The following is a 19,603-nucleotide window of genomic DNA, read 5'->3' as shown; positions in this document are numbered from 1 at the left end:
GGTCACAGGGATAAGAAGGATGAGATTCAAGGGCTTGGCAGGGGTCGACAGCAGCCTTGAGGTGGTGGTGAGAACTGGTTGTTATCCCGGGGACTGTGGAAAACCAGGAAGGGTTTTAAGTGATGGGGTCTTGGCAGTGGATGTGGAACATCCTGGTGGGAGGTGGTTTCAGTCATTCAGCCAAAGCCAAGCATGGTGGCTCACACCTGCAGTCCTAGCAACTTGGGAGGCTGACGCAGGAGGATTGCTTGTGGCCAGGAGTTTGAGACCAGCCTGGGGAACATAGTTGAGACCCCCATCTCCAAAAAGAAGAATGTTTTTAAAGATCATTCATTTGAGAGGTGATGGTGGCTTGAATCTTAGCAGCATTAGTGACATGGAGAGAGGTAGACCAACCCAAGAAGTGTTTAGGGAGTGGGGAAAGCGGCAGGGGTGGGGCTCGTCTGGAAGAACCTGAGTGCCTCGCAAGGGGCAGCATTGGGGCAGCTCGTAGGTAAAACAGTTCTCCTTTCTCATAGTCTTTGCTTCCTCCCCGCAGCTTCTCGCTGAATTCCGAGGGGGCTGAGAGGATGGCCACCACCGGGACCCCAACGGCCGACCGAGGCGACGCAGCCGCCACAGATGACCCGGCCGCCCGCTTCCAGGTGCAGAAGCACTCGTGGGACGGGCTCCGGAGCATCATCCACGGCAGCCGCAAGTACTCGGGCCTCATTGTCAACAAGGCGCCCCACGACTTCCAGTTTGTGCAGAAGACGGATGAGTCTGGGCCCCACTCCCACCGCCTCTACTACCTGGGTAAGCCGGGCCCTGCAGGCTGCTTGGGCGGGGACAGCATCTGGGACCACAGTTCCCTGGTCCTCTCTGTTCCCAGAGGTCCACAGGAGTTGGAAGATCTGCTCGGATGGCTGGGCCCTGGGCATGCTGTCCTTCGAGGCTCAGCCACAGACAGCTCTGACTACAGGGAAGGGCTGCCGCGGGGTGGGTGGGGCGGCCCCCGGAGGGTCAGCCGTGCAGGGAGCCATGCACAGGGCAGCCCCGCTCCTCCATGTGGCCAGGATGCCGTGGCTCAAGCCGGCCCTGTGGCTCCAAGCCCGGAGATTGTTTCCAGTGCTAGTCAGCCGGGTCCACCCCCTGAGTCACTTCCCAGCCACCTGGTCCGGGCTGGGTGGGGCTCGTGACAAACAGGACTGGACTGAACCATTCCCAGAGGGAGTCGGGAGTAACTCCAGGAGGAGCTCGCCGTGGAGGTGCGTCAAGAAGGATCCCGAGGTTCCGGGAAAGCCGCCCGGATGGCAGAACCTGGTTTGCCGCCGGTGACAGCACAGGGGCGGCTTGCCACGCGCTTGCAGCCCCTGCTGCAGGCTCTGGATCCACACTTCCTCCTCTGGGCGTGTGCCTGCACGCAGCTCCTCCTGCAGCGTCTGCAGTGCCTCACGGGACTGGGCTCCTCTGCACCACGAGTGCCTTCAGGGCACGGGTTAGGCTGCATGTCCTCCAGCAGCTTCTGCAGCCACTGTGGGCCTGGCTCCCGTGAGGTGGGCAGCGGATATTCGGATGGTGCCCACTGCACCCAGAGGCCTTAAGAGCTGGGAGGAAGGACACCTTGGAGAGATCAGCCAGGCCTGTGTCTTTGAAAGCAGCGTGACACATGGCTGGGGACCAAAGGCAGCGTCTCTCCCGCTTGGCACCATGGACATTGGGGCCAGATCGTTCTCTGGGGTGGGGCCGTCCGGCCACTGCAGGGTCCTGAGCAGCGTTCCTGGCCTCCACCCACTCCATGCCAGGAGCAGCCACATCCCAGTGGTGACAACCACAGATGTCCTCAGACATCGCCAAGTGTTCCTTGGGGGTGGGGTGGCGCTGGGATCCTTGTCCAGACCGCTGCACTCATCCATGGGACTCATGGTGGTGTCCTCAGCCCCTGAGCCCAGGCCCGCGTGTGCTGCAGCCCCCAGCCAGCATTGGAACCAGTGAACGGCCGTCATCCTCTGCCTGAGGCTGACCACATGCTAACAACAGTGACCGAGGTGGACACCAGGTGGCTGTCTTCTTCCGCCATCAGCGCAGTCCCTCTCCACAGACAGACTTGTGTGGGAATCAGATGGTGGTCTGGCAAACAAAGAATTTAAAAGGAAGAATCATCCAGAACAGGGGTCGGCAGGTGACAGCCGTCTTCAGAAGTCAGGTTTTCCTGGTCCCTGTTACTTTCCTGACATCTTTGGCTGTTCTCAAGCTACAGCAGGAGAGTCACCGCAACAGAGGTCATATGGCCCACGTAGCTGAAAACATTTACTGTCTTCCTTTTATTTTTCATTTTTTTTTTTAGAGATGAGGTCTCACTCCATTGCCCAGGCTGGAGTGCAGTGGTGTAATCACAGCTCACTGCAGCCTGGAAATCCCTGGCTCAGGTGATCATCCCAACCTCAGCCCTCCAGGTAGCTGGGACTATAGGCACGTGCCACCATGCCCAGACAATTTTTTGTATTTTTTGTAGAGATGAGGTTTTGCCGTGTTGCCCAAGCTGGTCTTGAGCCCCTAGGCTCAAGCAGTCCTCCTGCCTCAGCCTCCCAAAATGCTAGGGTTTCAGGCATCAGCCACTGCACCTGGGCTGTCTGGGCCTTTAAGAATGCTGGCCAACTCTAGTCTGGGAGAAATTGGACTGAAATGGCTTGAGTTTCAGTTACCTGAGAGAGCTTGGCTGTTACGACTACAAGTGTACAGACCACGGCTGCCATGGGCCGTTGCCTCTTTTTTATCCTGTGGCGCCCACAGTCTTGGGCCACTTGCTCCCGTTGGGGTTGCTGTCCTGGTCAGGGCGTTTGGAGGAGTTTTCTGTGGCTGCCATTGTGAAAATTATTCACACTTCTGGAGGGCAGAAATCCAAGATCAAGGTTTCCTCAGGGCCACGCTCCCTCTGGAGGCTCCAGAGGAGAACCAGTCCTGGCCTCTTGCAGCTTCTGGTGGCGGCCAGCATCCCTTGGCTTGTGGCCACAACGTTGGAACTTCTGGCCTGATGGTCACACAGCTTCCTCCTCCTCCTCTTCTTCTCTTCTGTCTGAAATTCCCCTCTGCCTCCTTTTTTTTTTTTTTTTTTTTTTTTTTTGAGATGGAGTCTCGCTCTGTCACCCAGGCTGGAGTGCAATGGCGCAATCTTGGCTCACTGCAACTTCCGCCTCCTGGGTTCAAGCGATTCTCCTACCTCAGCCTCCCGAGTAGCTGGGATTACAGGTGCCTGCCACCATACCCAGCTAATTTTTGTATTTTTAGTAGAAGCAGGGTTTCTCCATGTTGGCCAGGCTGGTCTCAAACTCCTGACCTCAGGTGATCCGCCTGCCTCAGCCTCCCAGAGTGCTGAGATTACAGGCGTAAGCCACCGTGCCTGGCCTGCCTCCCTCTGATAAGGACTCATGATGCCATCTGGGTCACTTGGGTAATCCAGGATCATCTCCTCAGCTCAAGAGCCTTCACTTAATCCCAGCCGCACAGGCCTGTCTCTCTGTGTAACGTAGCCTCCACACCCGAGCCCCAGGATGTGGACACCTCTCTGTCAGGGCCATCATTCAAATCTCCGTGGAGCTGCTAAAAGGGACAGAAACCCTCCAAGCTCGTCTGAGCCATGAAGTACTCCTGGAGTAAAGGTAGAGGGGCATCTCATGGAACCCAAGAGCAGAAAGCCCAGTGGACCTCAGGAAGCAGCGCCTGAGAACCAGAGCCTTCCAGAAGCCAGGCATCTGTCCGTGCCTGGGTCCACCCCACCTCGCTGCCCACCTGTCCTCCGCAACCCCTCCACAGCGCCTGGGATTCCATGCCTCAGGTTCTAGCCACCAGCAGAAACGGAGGAACTTTCTCCAAATTTCCGGGACAAAGATTCAGATTGACTCCGCATAGATGAGATCGTCGGGTCGCCTGTGGCTCGTGTGTGTGTCTGGGGCTGGGACAGGCAGGTCCTCACAGTACACAGGAGGTGCTGAGGGCCCACCCCAGTGGGCATGAACTTGGCAGAAACCCCAGAACGTACCTAGAGTAGCTCAAAAACCAGACTGCCCCTTTCGGGGTGAAATTCACCCTTCAACGACTCCAGGCTGTCACTTCACACTGTCAGGGGCAGCACTGAGCTCACGTCACATCCAGGTTCTCGGGGCAGGCCTCCCCCCAGCCCCTGAGTAATAATAACACTTCTTAGCACTAGCCCAGTGTCCAGACTTCAAGGCCAGGCCTGGCCTGCTGCTCAAAGCATGGGACCTGTCCCCTCAGCAGGCACCAGGTTTGCTGTGGGGCATGTGGAGCTAATCACTGGGCCCCTCCGGAAAGGCTCTTTCAGATCCACATGATAAAGCCCCCAGCGTCAGGCTAGCAGGAGCAGCGGGGGAACGTGCGGTTCCTGCTGCTGGGAAGATGGGCTGGGGCCGGCTCAGGTTCCAGGCCTCAGACTGCAGCATTGGGAAACGCTCCCGACCCCGCTCCCGCCCCACGCGGATCAGCCTCTCCCCACTGCAAACGGTGACTTCTGTGGCTGGAGGAGGCCACAGGGTTCCAGACAGTTCTGGAACTCCCTCGAAAGGGAAAGCAAGAATTCCTGTCTCCCGACGTCCCAGGCTGAGATCCAGGGGAGAGCCCTAGCCCTGTGTGGATCACGATCCCCCACCAGGCCAGCCACTCGAGGCCACAGCGTGCAGTGACGGGAAATGGTGTTTGCGCAGGCCTGGGTCACCGGGGCATGGGTGGGTGACAGGTTGGCATCAGGTGTGTTTGCAGGGGCAGAGCTGGTGAGGGAGGTCCGAGGAGGGATGGGGCAGCAGAAATCCACAGCCCTTGGCGGTCACCTCTAGCCCTTGCCTCAAAGGCCAGTTGTCACCATCATAGTGCCAGCAGCAGCTCGCCCGAGGAATGTGCTGGCAGGGGCCATTTGGTGATCATTGATTAATCAGCCTAGAAGGAGGTGGCCCTGGTGTCCTTGGCAAGTCTGTGGCTTTGATTTCCTGTTTGGAAAGCTCCAGCTCTCCTGGAGAGTCCCTGTGGACTAGCTGCCCAGGCCCTCCCATCCCTCCCACCCCTCCTGTTGGCCCAGGGTGCTTTTTAAAAATTGAGATGTAATTCACATTGCACAGTTTCACTTTTGAAGGTGTGAAACTCAGTGGCTTTTAGTCACGCATTCACAGAGTTGTGCAGCCATCACCATTGTCTACTTCTAGAACATTCACTCGCCCCAAAAAGCAACCCCATCAACCATCACTCCCAAGCCCCGGGCAACCATGAACCCACTTCCTGTCTCTGTGGATTGGCTTGTTCTGGACATTTCACACGAGCGAAATCACACATCACTTGACCCTCATCCCCATGGGCGGCCGGACGGGCAGGGTCCTGGCAGCTTCAAGGGCTCTTAGAGATTGAGTCGTGTTTCCAGCACTTGCGTTCTTTTGCTCACCCCTGAGTCTCCGCACGATTTTTCTCCTTCCCACACACATCTCACTGAACTTTGCATTTTTCATAAATACACTTTAAAAGGAACCCTGTTAATCTAATCTTTTTCTTTAAGTACATCCTTCCGTCACTACTGTACTTCACAAGCGCGCTTCCTCATGCGTGGGAAACCTGTGTTCCTTGCCACAACTAGAAGTTGCTGTTTCTTTCTTTAAAAAAAAAAACAAACAAACAACTGGCCGGGTGTGGTGGCTCACGCCTGTAATCCCAGCACTTTGGGAGGCCGAGGCAGGCAGATCACGAGGTCAGAATTTCAAGACCAGTCTGGCTAACATAGTGAAACCCCTGTCTCTACTAAAACTACAAAAAATTAGCCGGGTGTGGTGTTGTGCTCCTGTAATCCCAGCTACTCGGGAGGCTGAGGCAGGAGAGTCGCATGAACCCAGGAGGTGGAGGTTGCAGCGAGCCAAGATTGCACCATTGCACTCCAGCCTGGGTGACAGTGCGAGACTCTCTCTCAAGAAAACAAACTTTTAGGTTCAAGGGCACATGTGCCGGTTTGTTCTTTGGGTAAACTTGTGTCACGGGGGTTTGTTGTATAAATTATTTCATCACCCAGGCTAGTACCCGATAGTTATTTTGTCTGCTGCTCCCCCTCCACCCTCCACCCTCCAATAGGCCCCAGTGTCTGTTCTGCTCTATGTGTCCATGTGTTCTCATCATTTAACTCCCACTTATAAAGTGAGAACATGTGGTATTTGGTTTTCTGTTCCTGCATTACTTTTCTAAGGATAATGGTCTCCTGCTCCATCTATGTCCCTGCAAAGGACATGATCTCATTCTTTTTTATGGCTGCAGAGTACTCCGTGGTGTATATGTACTACATTTTCTTTATCCAGTCTACCGTTGATGGATTTAGGCTGATTCCATGTCTTTGCTGTTGTGAATAGTGAGAAGATTCTGTTTCATCCCACTGAACCCACAGCTACAGTCACCCCAAAAGCAGCAGCAGAGGAGTTCCCACAAGGGAGTGCCCTGAACCGTCCCCAGATGGGGCTGGTTGGGATTCCAAAGAAAGGAACCCTAAATGCCAGGGGGATGAGTCCAAAGCATTTTCCAGGGGGTCTTCGGTGCAGGGTGGGCTTCAGTGTCCTTGCAATGGGCATCAGAGAAAAGGCGTGTTCTACAGCCAGGTGTGTCCTCGGCAAGGGGGTCAGGGTATGGAGTTTATGTGAGGGTTTAAGGATTTTGGCTCAGGGCCTGGGCTGGCTTTCGGTATTTATCAGTGCCTGGGAATGTTCTAGGCTCTGGTTCAAGCCTGTAGGGAAAAACCTGCAGCTGGCTGAGCCACAGAGGTCAGGGCAGTCTGTGATTTTCAGTCAGGACACAGAAAGCAAGCAGGAGGAACTGGAGGACCCTGCGGCTGCCTGTAACAAGAAATAAAAATGGCACAGATATTACTAATTAAGCACTAATCCCAGAGGCGGCGAGCTTGTGGCCTTCCTGTTCTCCTCTTAAAAGCAAGCAAGGGCCGGGTGTGGTGGCTCATGCCTGTTATCCCAGCATTTTGGGAGGCCAAGGTGGGCAGATCACCTGAGGTCAGGAGTTCGAGACCATCCTGGCCAACATGGTAAAACCCCATCTCTACTAAAAATACAAAAATTAGCCGGGTGTGGTGGTGGGCGCCTGTAATCCCAGCTACTCTGGAGGCTGAGGCAGGAGAATTGCTTGAACCTGGGAGGCAGAGGCTGCAGTGAGCCAACATCGTGCCACTGCACTCCAGTCTGGGCGACAGAGCGAGACTGTGTCTCAGAAAAAAAAAAAAAAAAAAAAAAAAAAAGCGAGTATGAGGAGGTCCTGAAAAGAGGACAGGACAGCACCAATCCGAGGCTTCGTCCTGGAGAAACTCAGGGTTGAAAGTAGAGCAAGGAGGGGCCAGGGCACCGGGCTGTCTGTGACTTGTCGTTAGTCATGTCACGTTTGTGGGCTACTGGACAGCTTTATGCTTGGAGGAGCCCTGTCCCGGTTTTTCAGTGGTGTCGCATGGAGAGGGGAAACCGAGGCTTCCCAGGGGTTACCATCCTGCTTCTGCCATTCCCTTTTCTAATGACAATTGTACTGTCATCCAGCAGATCTAAGACATGACCATTTGGAAAATACACAGTTATTTTATTTGCCACTAAGGACCTGATTGCGCCTTCCGCAGTAAGACCCATCCCAAGCCCAGAGACATGCGTAGGTGGAAAGCCGCGGCTTACTGATGAAATACGCTGATTTCACAGAGGGTCACACACATTGTGCCGAGAGCTTTACGTTTCTTACCTCATGTAATCCACCCAAAACCCTCGCTTGGCAGCTCTCACTACCGTCATTTTCTACAGAAGCTTCGATTAAATCAGTGGTTTGAGGTCGGGGTGATTCTGCCCCTGCAGGGGACACTGGGAGATGCCTGGGGATATGTGTGGTTGTCACGACTGTGGGGTGCCCCTGGCATGGAGTGGGCGGAGGACAGGGATGCTGCTCAGCGCCTCGCAGTGGTCAGGACAGCCCCACCCCGGAGGATGGTCCAGGCCCGAATGTAATTAGGGGCGAGGTTGGGAAATACTGGACCAGGTGCACGCTTCCCCATTCCCTTTTTTGAGACAAAATCTTGCTCTGTTACCCAGGCTGGACTACAGTGGCGCAATCTCGGCTCACTGCAACCTCTGCCTCCCAGGTTCAAGTGATTCTCCTGCCTCAGCCTGACGAGTAGCTGGGATTACAGGCGCGTGCCACCACGCCCGGCTAATTTTTGTGTTTTTAGTAGAGATGGGGTTTCACCATGTTGTCCAGTCTGGTCTCGAACTCCTGACCTCAAGTCATCTGCTTGCCTCGGCCTCCCAAAGTGCTGGGATGACAGGCGTGAGCCATGTCGCCTGGCCCTCATTCCTTTTTGATGGTTTTGCCCTCCCTCTAATCCTATATTAAATTCTTGTCGTCTGCAAAAGCCTTGATAAAGGGCCTTGGAGAGCCGAACCCAACCTGTTGAGAGTTGGATGTTTGTTTCTGACTGCCCTTCTTGTTCTCTTGTGTGCGATTTATTTTTCTTTCTTTTTTCTTTTATTTTATTCTTTTTTTTTTTTTTGAGACGGGGCCTTGCTATGTTGCCCAGGCTGGTCTCAAACTCCTGGGCTCAGGCAGTCCTCTCGCCTCGGCCTCCCAAAGTGCTGGGATTACAAACAAGAGCCACCATGCCCAGCCTCTTGTGTGCTGTTTCTTCGGTAATTCAGGCCGTGAGATTCAGCAGAAATATCTCAGGTGGAAGGCCCTACTGCCTACTTAAGCAAACCCAGGATCCATAGCTTTCCGGGGAGGGCTGTCCCGCCGGCGGCCTGGCAGAATGTTCTAGAAGCAGAGGGAACCAGCTGGGCCCAGCTGCAGGCTGAGGGCGTCTCCCCATCCTGAGCCAGGGTACCCGTTCTGGGTGTTTCCTTTCTCCCTTTAGGAATGCCATATGGCAGCCGAGAGAACTCCCTCCTCTACTCTGAGATTCCCAAGAAGGTCCGGAAAGAGGCTCTGCTGCTCCTGTCCTGGAAGCAGATGCTGGATCATTTCCAGGTAAGCTGTGCTATTAGGCGTGGGCCCTACCGTGGGCGAGGAGGTGGCAAAGGCCAGCCCCACAGGCCATACATGCCTTCGGTCACCTCTCTGCCCCACCGGCTGTGAGTTCCCACAAACCCTCCGTCCTGTGGACTCTGGCGGGTGAGCCTTCCCTCCTCCCCCTGACCACCTGTACTCAAGCGACAGAGAAACTCTTACCAAAAGCATCTCTTCCTTTTAACGGCATCACCAAAGATTGGGAATTAACTTGGCTTGAGGCCCTTTTAGAGAGACTGGTTAATCATCAATCTCATCCAGTGTTGGCTCTCTGGGGATAGTTGAGGGAGGAAAAATGCCTTTTGCATTGATTGGCGTGTTTTTGTGTTTGATGATTGGGAGGCCGAGGCAAGAGGATTGCTTGAGCCCAAGAATTTGAGACCAGACTGGGGAACACAGCAAGAGCCTGTCTCTACAAAAAATAAAATTAGCCAGGCCTGGTGGCACTCGCCTTGTAGTTCCAGCTAATTGGTAGGCTGAGATGGGAGGATCTCTTGAACCCAGGAGGGCAAGGCTACAGTGAGCCGTGATCTCACCATTGCACTCCAGCCTGGGAGACAGCGAATCCCAGTCTCTAAAATAGTAACAATATAGCAATAAAAATAACATAACATTATAACATAGTAACAACATAAACATAACAATGTAACAATAATGATATCTAACAGTGGCTGAGATCGTGACACTCCCACTTTCTCCACCACTGGTTCACTGGCCCTCACTTTGGCCTGTCTCTGAGTCCCCAAGCCAGTGTCCTTGTGTTTACACTGCTTTCCACAGAGTGTAGGGGTAATTTTGCTTTTGATTCTGCTTTTTTTTTTGAGACAAAGTCTCACTCTGTCACTCAGGCTATAGTGCAGTGGCGCAATCTCGGCTCACTGCAACCTCTGCCTCCCGGTTCAAGTGATTCTTCTGCCTCAGCGTCCCAAGTAGCTGGGACTACAGGCGCGTGCCACCACACCCGGCTAATTTTTGTATTTTTAGTAGAGACGGGGTTTCACCATATTGGCCAGGCTGGTCTCGAATTTCTGACCTCGTGATCTGCCCACCTCGGCCTCCCAAAGTGCTGGGATTACGAAATTGAAAGCTCTTGATGGGAAGGGATTGTGAATAGGGTAGGAGGGTGGGGAGTCTGTAAGAATGGCACTAGGGACCCGGAGAGAGTACTCCGGTGGTGTGGGGCAGGGACAGCCCCTCCCAGGGGCCCCCATCTGCTATGGAGAGGGTCTGTGGGGAGGGAACTCAGGAAGTGAGGAGGCTTCTGGCCCCAGAGTCTCCCCTGCCACCTCCTAGGACACTCAGCCAGTCCTGCAGGGCCAGGTTCGCTGGCAATCTTTGGCCACCCACTGTGTCAAGGGCTCCGGCAGCCAATTCTGCCCAGTACAGGAAGTTCTCTCTGGCGAGGCCCGAAGTCAGATTCCCTGGGAATGCCCCAGCCCGAGGATCTCTGCCCTGGCCAGCGGGAGATCCTCTTTGCCCACTGACGCTGCCCCCTGTCCCCTGTATGTTTCCAGGCCACGCCCCACCATGGGGTCTACTCTCGGGAGGAGGAGCTGCTGAGGGAGCGGAAACGCCTGGGGGTCTTCGGCATCACCTCCTACGACTTCCACAGCGAGAGTGGCCTCTTCCTCTTCCAGGCCAGCAACAGCCTCTTCCACTGCCGCGACGGCGGCAAGAACGGCTTCATGGTGAGCCCTGGCCCTGGCTGTGTGCGGGGGTGGCGTGGAGGGCCCCTCCCCCTGAGCTGGGCGTCTCTGTCCTCAGGTGTCCCCTATGAAACCGCTGGAAATCAAGACCCAGTGCTCAGGGCCCCGGATGGACCCCAAAATCTGCCCTGCCGACCCTGCCTTCTTCTCCTTCATCAATAACAGCGACCTGTGGGTGGCCAACATCGAGACAGGCGAGGAGCGGCGGCTGACCTTCTGCCACCAAGGTGGGGCCAGCCCCTCCTGTGCACGGCCACCATAGCCACCTGGCCAGCTTCCAGAAAGGCCCCATTGCCCCCACAGCCAGGGTCTTCCTGCACACACCCCTCACAAGCCACCCTCCCGTGCATACCTTCTGTAGCCTACCATGTCTCCCGGGAGGTCCTGGCGTCCCTGCCGCTCTGTAGTTTTCTTTCTTTCTTTCTTTCTTTTTTTTTTTTTTGAGAGAGTCTCACCCATGTGGGAGTGCAGTTGCCCAGGCGGGAGCGCAGGCGGGAGTGCCCAGGTGGACTGCAGTGGTATGATCTCGGCTCACTGCAACTTCCGCCTCTTGGGTTCAAGTGATTCTCCTGCCTCAGCCTCCCGAGTAGCTGGGATTACAGGTGCCCGCCACCACGCCTGGCTAATTTTTTTTTTTTTTTTGTATTTTTAGTTGTGACGAGGTTTCCCCATGTTGGCCAGGCTGCTCTTGAGCTCCTGACCTCAAATGATCTACCTGCCTCGGCCTCCCAAGGTCCTGAGATTACAGGCATGAGCTACCGCACCCTGCCGCTCTGTGGTTTTCTGCTGCAGGCGTCAGCCCAGCCACGGTGCTCTGGACCCTCTTCCAGGTGCCCCTGGGCATTTCTGCCCCTGCACACCTTCCCCTCCACTCTGCCTGTCCAGCCCCATCAAGTCAAGGCCACATCTCACCTGCTTCCTGCGTGTTCTCTCCACTCCCTTGCTCATCAGAAGTGACCCCATCCTTCCTTGTCTTGGTTTCAAGTCACTGATCGCTGCCTCTCCGTCCCATAAGCCCGGGCCCCACTTTCCAAACCTGGCCACTCGGCGATGTCCAGAGACGTTTTTAGACGGCACACTTGGGCGGGGGTGCTCCTGGCTTGCCATGGGGTGAGTGGAGGCCAGGGACACTGCTCAGCACCCTGCTGTGCCCTGGACGGCCCCACCCCAGAGACCAAGAGGGCCCCAGTGTCCACAGTGTGGGGTGGAGCAACCCTGCTTGAAAGCAGTCGGCTCCGAGCTCTCCCTCCCTCTCCCTCCCTCTCCCTCCCCCTCTCCTTCCCTTTCCTTCCCTCCTTCTCTCTCCCTCTCTCTCATGCTCTCCTTGAGCCCCTGGCTGTCCCCAGTGTTAGCAGGCTGCTCACCCCTTGTTGATGCTCTCCGTCCCTCCCCCTAGGTTTATCCAATGTCCTGGATGACCCCAAGTCTGCGGGTGTGGCCACCTTCGTCATACAGGAAGAGTTCGACCGCTTCACTGGGTACTGGTGGTGCCCCACAGCCTCCTGGGAAGGTAGGTCCCTTCCATTTTTCAACATGCTCCCGGGCGTGCTTTTCCTCCTGGAATCACAGGCTGTGTCCTTCCTGCGCCTTACTCCTTTCACCTCAAACCACCTCCACAGTCTGTCAATACCAACACCTAGAGAGTTCCTTAACGACTGTAGACATCGCTGTTGCCCTAAGAGGGGACACAGTTCAGCCCGTTACACCCCACGTGGCCACTTCCCATGCCAGTTCATGCTGGGAGTAGCCCTGCTCTGCTTCCCACTGCACAGGGGAGGAAACTGAAGCCCAGAGAGTTGGGACTGGCATAAGGTCTAGCGAATGGCAGAGCCGGGGTTCTGGTTTCAGAGCCCTCGGTGCCCATCTTCAGGCCCCGGTGCTGCAGGGGGCGGGGGGTGCTGATGGCAGGGACTCTGCCTCTGGCACCCTCAGCAGTTTTTCCACCACCCCACCCAAGGTTCAGAGGGCCTCAAGACGCTGCGAATCCTGTATGAGGAAGTCGATGAGTCCGAGGTGGAGGTCATTCACGTCCCCTCTCCTGCGCTAGAAGAAAGGAAGACGGACTCGTATCGGTACCCCAGGACAGGTGAGTGCCCGGTACATGTGAGGGGCTGGGCCGGGGATCTGAGGCCCCTGGGGCATGGCTGGTGAGGTGCACTGTCCCCCAGGCCCTCTGAGCTGCATGTGTGTGCTCTGGGCATCTATGGGGGTGTAGAAGGAAGGCTTCTGCCCTGCAGGGGCCGCCCCTTTCTCCTGGCTTACCATGGCCACCGGATCATATTGCTCAGAAGTGAGCAAGCTGTCTCTGGAAGGGATGAGGGCACAGGTATCTCAGGCTTCCAGGGCCAGACGAAGGCAGGCTCTCTTGCAACTGCCCCACCCTGCTGCTGGAGCACAGAAGTGGCACGTGCAGGAATGGGCGTAGCCATGTGCCAAGGAAACTTGACTGAAGTTTGGATTACAAATAATTCACCTTGAGATACATATGATTTTCATATTAGCGAAAATGTCACTCTTGTTTTGTTTGTTTGTTTTCTTAACCGTCTCAGAACGAAAGAAGGATTTTCAGCCATACAAAAACAGAAGGCAGGCTGGATTTGGCCCTCACACTACAGTGGTGTTTGTTTGTTTGTTTGTTTGTTTTTGAGACAAGGTTTCACCTTGTGGCTCAGGCAGGAGTACAGTGGTGCAATCACAGCTCACTGCAGCCTCCAACTCCTAGGCTCAAGTGATCCTCCCACCTCTGCCTCCCAGGTAGCTGGGACTACAGGTGTGTGCCACCATGCCCAGCTAATATTTAAATTTTCTGTAGAGATGGAGTCTTGCTTTGTTGCCCAGGCTGGTTTCGAACTCCTGGCCTCAAGTGGTCCTCTCGCCTCGGCCTCCCAAAATGCTGAGATTACAGACGTGAGCCACACGCCCGGCCACTCCCAATTCTTAAACATCTTTCCAATTATTTAAAAATATCTCTGGAGCCAAACAGAACACACGTGCAGCCCAGATTCCGCGTTCAGGCCTTGGGTTTGCAACCCCCATGGGACCATATAAGAGCATCGTTATTGCCCATACTCCGCGAGTGCCTGCTCTGTGCCGTGCTAGATGGAAGCTTCCTGTACGGTCTTTCCAACTCCCACTGCAAATGAGCTAAGTCAGTCTTTTCCCCCTCGTATGACAGATGAGAAAACAGGCTCAGAGATGTCACCTGCCCTGGAGGCCAGAGCCACGAGGGCTGGAGTTGAGTTTCTCGTAGGTCTAGCCAAAAAAATAAGCATTCTCCGCTCTGCTGTGGCCCGCGCCCTCTTTCGGAGCCTGAACTAAGTCCCACTCTTCAGAAGCCTCTTGGGTCCCTTATTCTGTCGCCATTGGCCTCCGGAGGGCGCAGGTCTGGCTGTCACACGGGCTCCCTGGTTTTGCATGGGACACACCCCACTTGTCACGTTGTCAGTTTTACTGTGATGCCTCGGGCTTCACCGTCTGCTCTGGAGCTCTCCCAAGGCAGGGATGGCATCTTCCTGGTATCTGCGGCCCCTACAAGCCCCAGCTCTCAGCACAGGGTGTGGCCCGTGTTTTTAAATGAGAAAGCCAGATGCCACATCACTGTTGGGAATGCGATCCAGGCCCAAAGTCAGAAGGTCCCCACCTGAGGGTGTCATGCCTGTTCCAGCAGGACGATGTGCCTACAGACAGACCGTGGGACACCTGGCTTCTCCTGCCTCCCCCACTCCAATTGTACACCTCTCTGTGGACGTCACCCCACAGCCCAGGCCCCCCGTGCCGGCTCTCGGCACACACGGGTGATGCCTGCCTGGTGTTCACCTCACTTCGGTTTTTGCAGGCAGCAAGAATCCCAAGATTGCCTTGAAACTGGCTGAGTTCCAGACTGACAGCCAGGGCAAGGTAAGGGGGCCTGCTGCATACCAGATAATCTACTAGATGATGCGGGGAAGGGCCGGGTAGGCAGCTGGGTGGATGGGCAGGTCACTCACCTCCCTCTCGGGGGCACTCCCCAGGCCCCAGCCCTGCCGCCCGGTCCGCCTAGCCACAGGCCTTCCCTGTGTGTCTCTGGACCTGTGCCTAGAATGCGGCGTGGCGAGCTGGCCTCCCTGCCTCACAGAGTGGGTCCTGAGACTGGAGGCCACGCCGCGGTAAGGAACAAGCACCGGGCAGGGGCCCTGCGAGGACAGGCGCGGCAGGTGCTCCCAGGCCACCTCGGGAGTGGGTGACGTGTGGATCCAGAGCTGCCCTCTCTCCAAGTTTCCAGAACAGAGAACTCCGTGGGGCAGATGGCTGGGGGACCCCAACTTCGGACGGGCTGTTTCCTCCAGCGTTTCAGGCAGATCCTCAGGTCCGTTCACCGGACCCGTCAGCTACTGTGGGGAGGAGAGTGTTCTGGATCCCCATCCCCCCGACCTCCTCAGATCTAGTACACAGGGTCCTCATCACCTGGGGGTCATCTCAAAGGACCCCACAGCCTGGAGGCGCCATCAGGCAGCAAAAGGCATCATCACCCCGCAGCAAGGCGGTCACCAGCAGACCACACCTGTGACCGCATCTCCCTCGGCCCCCTCCTCCGTAGCCACCCCCTGCAGCCCAGCATATCCCTCCCTTCTCTCACATCCCTGCCCTCCCAGGGGACCCCCAATAGCCCCACATTGATCAGTTCTCTCGGAAGTTGCAAATCCCATAAGACCCAGAAGGGTGTCAGGAAGTTAAGTAACATCATGTTGGAGAACTCGCAGACAGAGCCCTGGGCCAAAGAGGCTGGGGCAGAGGAGAGCAGATGATGATGGGGACACCAGGCGTCCAGAGAAACCCTCCCTTCCCCTGCACCAGAGGATGGAAGGGCTGGGACAAACCAAGGAGGCCCTTGTGTGCTCTTGCAAAAATGACATAATGTGATTAGGACCTCTCCAGACCTCTTTTGCATTCTTTTTTTTTTTTTTTTTTTTTTTTTGAGGTGGAGTCTCGCTCTGTCGCCCAGGCTGGAGTGCAGTGGCGTGATCTCTGCTCACTGCAAGCTCCGCCTCCCGGGTTCATGCCATTCTCCTGCCTCAGCCTCCCGAGTAGCTGGGACTACAGGCACCCACCACCATGCCCGGCTAATTTTTTGTATTTTTTATTAGAGACGGGGTTTCACCGTGTTAGCCAGGACGGTCTCAATCTCCTGACCTCGTGATCCGCCCGCCTCGGCCTCCCAAAGTGTTGGGATTACAGGTGTGAGCCACCACACCCGGCCTTCTTTTGCATTCTTGACAGTAGCATTCTGGCAGATTTTAGGTGATCAGTCTGAGTGGCTTTGCCAGTGATGCACGTGAAACCTCCTTCCAGGCTGGGGTTTTGCTTTGCTTGTTTGTTCTTGTTTTTTGAGACAGGGTCTCACTGTCGTCTAGGCTGGAGTACACTGGTGCAATCATGACCCACTGCAGCCTCAACTTCCCAGGCTCAAGGCAATCCTCTTGCCTCAGCCTCTTGAGTAGCTGGGACTACAGGCATGCACCACCACACCTAACTAATTGTGGGTTTTGTAGAGATGGGGTCTTGCCATGTTCCCCAGGCTGGTCTCGAACTCCTGACCTCAAGTGATCCACCTGCCTCAGCCTCTCAAGGTGCTGGGATTACAGGTGTGAGCCACCGCACCTGGCCCCGCCAGGCTGTTTTAGTGGCTCCTTGCACTCTCAGACGTGCAGAGTCCTTAGGTGGGCTGGGGTGATGCCAATCAAACAAGTCGGCTTGGGGATGTGGGGCTGGTGACCCACTCAAGTGGTAGAGCTGGAGGCCCTGCTGCCGTTTCTCCCTTTGATCCTCCAGAGATGCTGTGCCAGCCCCATTTAGACACGAGGAAGGCTCAGGTCCCCTATCTCTCAATACCCTGGAAACGCCGTGCCAGCCCTGTTTAAGCATGGGGAAGCCCTGGGTCCGGGGACTGTGCTTGCCCAGAGCCACCTGGCTCTAAGGGACAGCCCAGACCAGAGCCTTTGGGTCCAGGCACCTGCTGGGGTGCCGCCGTTGGCTTGCCCAGCCCACCTGCCCCTGTTGGGTGTAGTCATTTGTTTGGGCCATGACAAAGGACCACAGACTGGGAGGCTTACACGGCCGAAATTGATAATGTCCAACACCAAGCTGCTAGCAGGTGGCTCCTTCTCCATGGCTTCTTGGTGGCCGTTGCTTCCTGTATCTCTTCTCAAGACGGCTTCCCTCTATGTGTCTATGTCTATGTGTCCCCCTGTAAGGACAGCAGTCATGCTGGATCAGGGCCCACCCTCATCCACACAACCTTGTCTTAACTCAGTACATCTCCAGTGGCCCCATTTCCAAAGAAGGTTGCGTTCTGGGGTTCTGGGGGCTGAGACTCCAGCATATGAATTTGGGGGGGACATGATGGGACCCAGCGCAGTGGCCTTCTCCTCCGAGCAGCGCCGGGCAGGCCAGGGCATGACCCACACCTGTTTGTTTCCCTTCAGATCGTCTCGACCCAGGAGAAGGAGCTGGTGCAGCCCTTCAGCTCGCTGTTCCCGAAGGTGGAGTACATCGCCAGGGCCGGGTGGACCCGGGATGGCAAATAGTGAGTGTCTCTGGCTGGAACCCAAGGAATTCACCTGCAGGGCCCTGGGCCCTGGGCAGCCACCGAAGCTGCCTCCTGGCCTTCCGTGCCATTCCTTCCATCTGCTCACGTCTTCCCGCAGTGCAACCGCCAGGACAGGCCTCAGACCAGTGTCCAAAGGGCCCTCCTGACCTCAGCCAGTCTGAGGATGAAACACTGGACTTATGAGTCCCAGTGTTAGTGCCACTAGGACATGCTGATCCAGTTACCCAGAGTGTGGAGGAGACCTACAGAGGGGATTTCAGGTGTCCCCAGACCTCAGGCTCAGAAAAACTGAGTCACAAAGTAGAGGTGCTCCCCTGTACTCACTCCCCAGCCTCCCACCCATGTCGAGGAGAGAACTCTACCACCTCCCTAAACGGGGGCCCCAAACCCCAGTGGGCAAATTCAGCCTCTGCCTGTTTTTTTTTTTTGAGATGGAGTCTCGCTCTGTCGCCCAAGCTGGAGTGCAGTGGTGCGATCATAACTCACTGCAGCCCCGAATTCCCAGGCTCAAGCAATCCTCCCACCTCAGCCTCCTGAGTAGAGGGGACTATAGGTACTCGCCACTATGCCTGGCCAATGTTTTGTATTTTTTATAGATATGAGGGTCTTGCTTTTGCATTCCTATGCCTCTTAGCCTGTTCACTTTTCTAATTGCATTGGTTAATGCCTCCAATGGAATGTTAACAATGAATTCTATTATGTGCTGCTGCCATATGTACATTTGCTAGGACTGTGGGTGTGAGTCACCACTCCCAGCTAATATTTTAATTTTTTTTTTTGAGACGGAGTCTTGCCCTGTCACCAGGCTGGAGTGCAGTGGTATGATCTTGGCTCACTGCAACCTCTGACTCCCAGGTTCAAGCAATTCTCCTGCCTCAGCCTCCCGAGTACAGGCACGTGCCACCATGCCCAGCCAATTTTTGTATTTTTAGTAGAGATGGGGTTTCACCATGTTGGCCAGGACAGTCTCAAACTCGTGACCTTGTGATCCGCCCCCCTCGGCTTCCCAAAGTGCTGGGATTACAAGCGTGAGCCACTGTGCCTGGACTTTTTTTTTTTTTTTTGTAGAGACAAGGTCTTGCCATGTTGCCCAGGCCCAGGCAGGTCTTGAACTTCTGGGCTCAAGCGACCCGCCCACCTCAGCCTCTTAAAGTGCTGGGATTGCAGGCCTGAGCCCAGGCACCCACTCTAGTTAGTATTTTATGTCCCTGTGATGCTTCCCTTTGGTTTGGTTTTCGTTGTTCTGTGTGTGGAGGTGCTGCTTTTCCACGTAGAATACTAACATCTCCTCTTAAAATAAATTCAAGTTTAAAAATTGTTCATTTAGGCCAGGTGCGGTGGCTCACGTCTGTAAACCCAGCACTTTGGGAGGCTGGGGCTGGCGGATCATCTGAGGTCAGGAGTTCGAGACTAGCCTGGCCAACATGATGAAACCTTGTCTCTACTAAAAATACAAAAATTAGCCGGGCATGGTGGCAGGCACCTATAATCCCAGCTACTCAGGAGGCTGAGGCAGGAGAATCGCTTGAACCTGGGATGTGGAGGTTGCAGTGAGCTGAGATTGTGCCACTATACTTCAGCCTGGACAAGAGTGAAACTCTGTCTCAAAAAATTAAATAAAGAAATAAATAAATAAAATAAAGCAAACTACGAAATAAAGGATAGCGACTGTGGGCCGAAGAGTCAGTGAAGAGGAGAAACTATTAGAGCTTGCCGCTGTGAGACTTAGGCCATTGTTTCCGGAACACTTGGATCATGAAATCTTGTCACCCATCCTGTCCTCCCCTAAGCATGTGCCAGGAAGGAAGCCTGTGGGTGCTGCAGGGTTACTTGGCCAAGTGCAGGTGAAGCCAGCGCAGGAAGCCCAGCCCTGATTCCACACGGGTTTGGACGCTGCGTCCCCAGCTTCTCTGTGCAGGCCACTGAGGCTCCCAGCTTCCCTCTCATCTTCCCCCGCATCTTCCCCCTTAGCGCCTGGGCCATGTTCCTGGACCGGCCCCAGCAGTGGCTCCAGCTCGTCCTCCTCCCCCCGGCCCTGTTCATCCCGAGCACAGAGAATGAGGAGCAGCGGCTAGCCTCTGCCAGAGCTGTCCCCAGGAATGTCCAGCCGTATGTGGTGTACGAGGAGGTCACCAACGTCTGGATCAATGTAAGCGGGGCAAGCGCTGGCTGTATGCCCGCCTGGGCCCTGGAGTCACACTGTCCCCACCCCCACGTCCTAGAAGGCTGAGCGCCAATGGCAGGTGGTGTTTGC

At 55.5% G+C, this 19,603-nt stretch overlaps 1 protein-coding gene across 45 annotated transcripts in view, besides 8 other annotated features; it reads left to right on the top strand.

The window, feature by feature from the left end:
* Positions 1-19,603, top strand: part of DPP9 (dipeptidyl peptidase 9) — a 48,616-nt gene that overhangs the window by 8,967 nt on the left and 20,046 nt on the right. For 31 of the 45 annotated variants that reach the window (NR_169291.1, NR_169283.1, NR_158699.2 and 28 more), the window contains 9 exons: positions 539-795; positions 8,906-9,018; positions 10,572-10,745; positions 10,822-10,990; positions 12,160-12,273; positions 12,721-12,849; positions 14,599-14,660; positions 17,225-17,325; positions 19,321-19,498. Coding sequence is in view for 34 of the 45 variants with exons in the window: in NM_001384615.1 (NP_001371544.1) it covers positions 539-795; positions 8,906-9,018; positions 10,572-10,745; positions 10,822-10,990; positions 12,160-12,273; positions 12,721-12,849; positions 14,599-14,660; positions 17,225-17,325; positions 19,321-19,498 (1,297 nt within the window). In the remaining 11 variants the exon portion in view is untranslated. Of the gene's footprint in view, positions 1-538; positions 796-8,905; positions 9,019-10,571; positions 10,746-10,821; positions 10,991-12,159; positions 12,274-12,720; positions 12,850-14,598; positions 14,661-17,224; positions 17,327-19,320; positions 19,499-19,603 lie in introns of those variants that run through there. The other 14 variants (NR_169287.1, NM_001384638.1, NM_001384637.1 and 11 more) reach the window with 9 other exon arrangements.
* Positions 132-631: an enhancer, noted in NCBI's record as "H3K4me1 hESC enhancer chr19:4714257-4714756 (GRCh37/hg19 assembly coordinates)". NCBI's record gives its function as "activates a minimal SCP1, AML or CMV promoter by ChIP-STARR-seq in primed H9 embryonic stem cells {active_cell/tissue: H9 hESC(primed)}" and the evidence as "EXISTENCE:reporter gene assay evidence [ECO:0000049][PMID:30033119]".
* Positions 132-1,803: a biological region, named in NCBI's record as "CDK7 strongly-dependent group 2 enhancer GRCh37_chr19:4713085-4714284".
* Positions 604-1,803: an enhancer, noted in NCBI's record as "CDK7 strongly-dependent group 2 enhancer chr19:4713085-4714284 (GRCh37/hg19 assembly coordinates)". NCBI's record gives its function as "activates an origin of replication core promoter dependent on BRD2, BRD4, P300/CBP, MED14 and CDK7 cofactors, with strong dependence on CDK7, by STARR-seq in HCT116 cells {active_cell/tissue: HCT116}" and the evidence as "EXISTENCE:reporter gene assay evidence [ECO:0000049][PMID:35650434]".
* Positions 632-1,133: an enhancer, noted in NCBI's record as "H3K4me1 hESC enhancer chr19:4713755-4714256 (GRCh37/hg19 assembly coordinates)". NCBI's record gives its function as "activates a minimal SCP1, AML or CMV promoter by ChIP-STARR-seq in primed H9 embryonic stem cells {active_cell/tissue: H9 hESC(primed)}" and the evidence as "EXISTENCE:reporter gene assay evidence [ECO:0000049][PMID:30033119]".
* Positions 9,945-10,445: an enhancer, noted in NCBI's record as "H3K4me1 hESC enhancer chr19:4704443-4704943 (GRCh37/hg19 assembly coordinates)". NCBI's record gives its function as "activates a minimal SCP1, AML or CMV promoter by ChIP-STARR-seq in naive H9 embryonic stem cells {active_cell/tissue: H9 hESC(naive)}" and the evidence as "EXISTENCE:reporter gene assay evidence [ECO:0000049][PMID:30033119]".
* Positions 9,945-11,168: a biological region, named in NCBI's record as "BRD4-independent group 4 enhancer GRCh37_chr19:4703720-4704919".
* Positions 9,969-11,168: an enhancer, noted in NCBI's record as "BRD4-independent group 4 enhancer chr19:4703720-4704919 (GRCh37/hg19 assembly coordinates)". NCBI's record gives its function as "activates an origin of replication core promoter dependent on BRD2, P300/CBP, MED14 and CDK7 cofactors, and independent of BRD4, by STARR-seq in HCT116 cells {active_cell/tissue: HCT116}" and the evidence as "EXISTENCE:reporter gene assay evidence [ECO:0000049][PMID:35650434]".
* Positions 10,446-10,946: an enhancer, noted in NCBI's record as "H3K4me1 hESC enhancer chr19:4703942-4704442 (GRCh37/hg19 assembly coordinates)". NCBI's record gives its function as "activates a minimal SCP1, AML or CMV promoter by ChIP-STARR-seq in naive H9 embryonic stem cells {active_cell/tissue: H9 hESC(naive)}" and the evidence as "EXISTENCE:reporter gene assay evidence [ECO:0000049][PMID:30033119]".

The sequence above is a fragment of the Homo sapiens genome, chromosome 19, assembly GCF_000001405.40.
Source record: "Homo sapiens chromosome 19, GRCh38.p14 Primary Assembly".
In the NCBI taxonomy this organism is placed as follows: Eukaryota; Metazoa; Chordata; class Mammalia; order Primates; family Hominidae; genus Homo; species Homo sapiens.
This window is presented reverse-complemented; position numbering and strand designations above follow the sequence as displayed.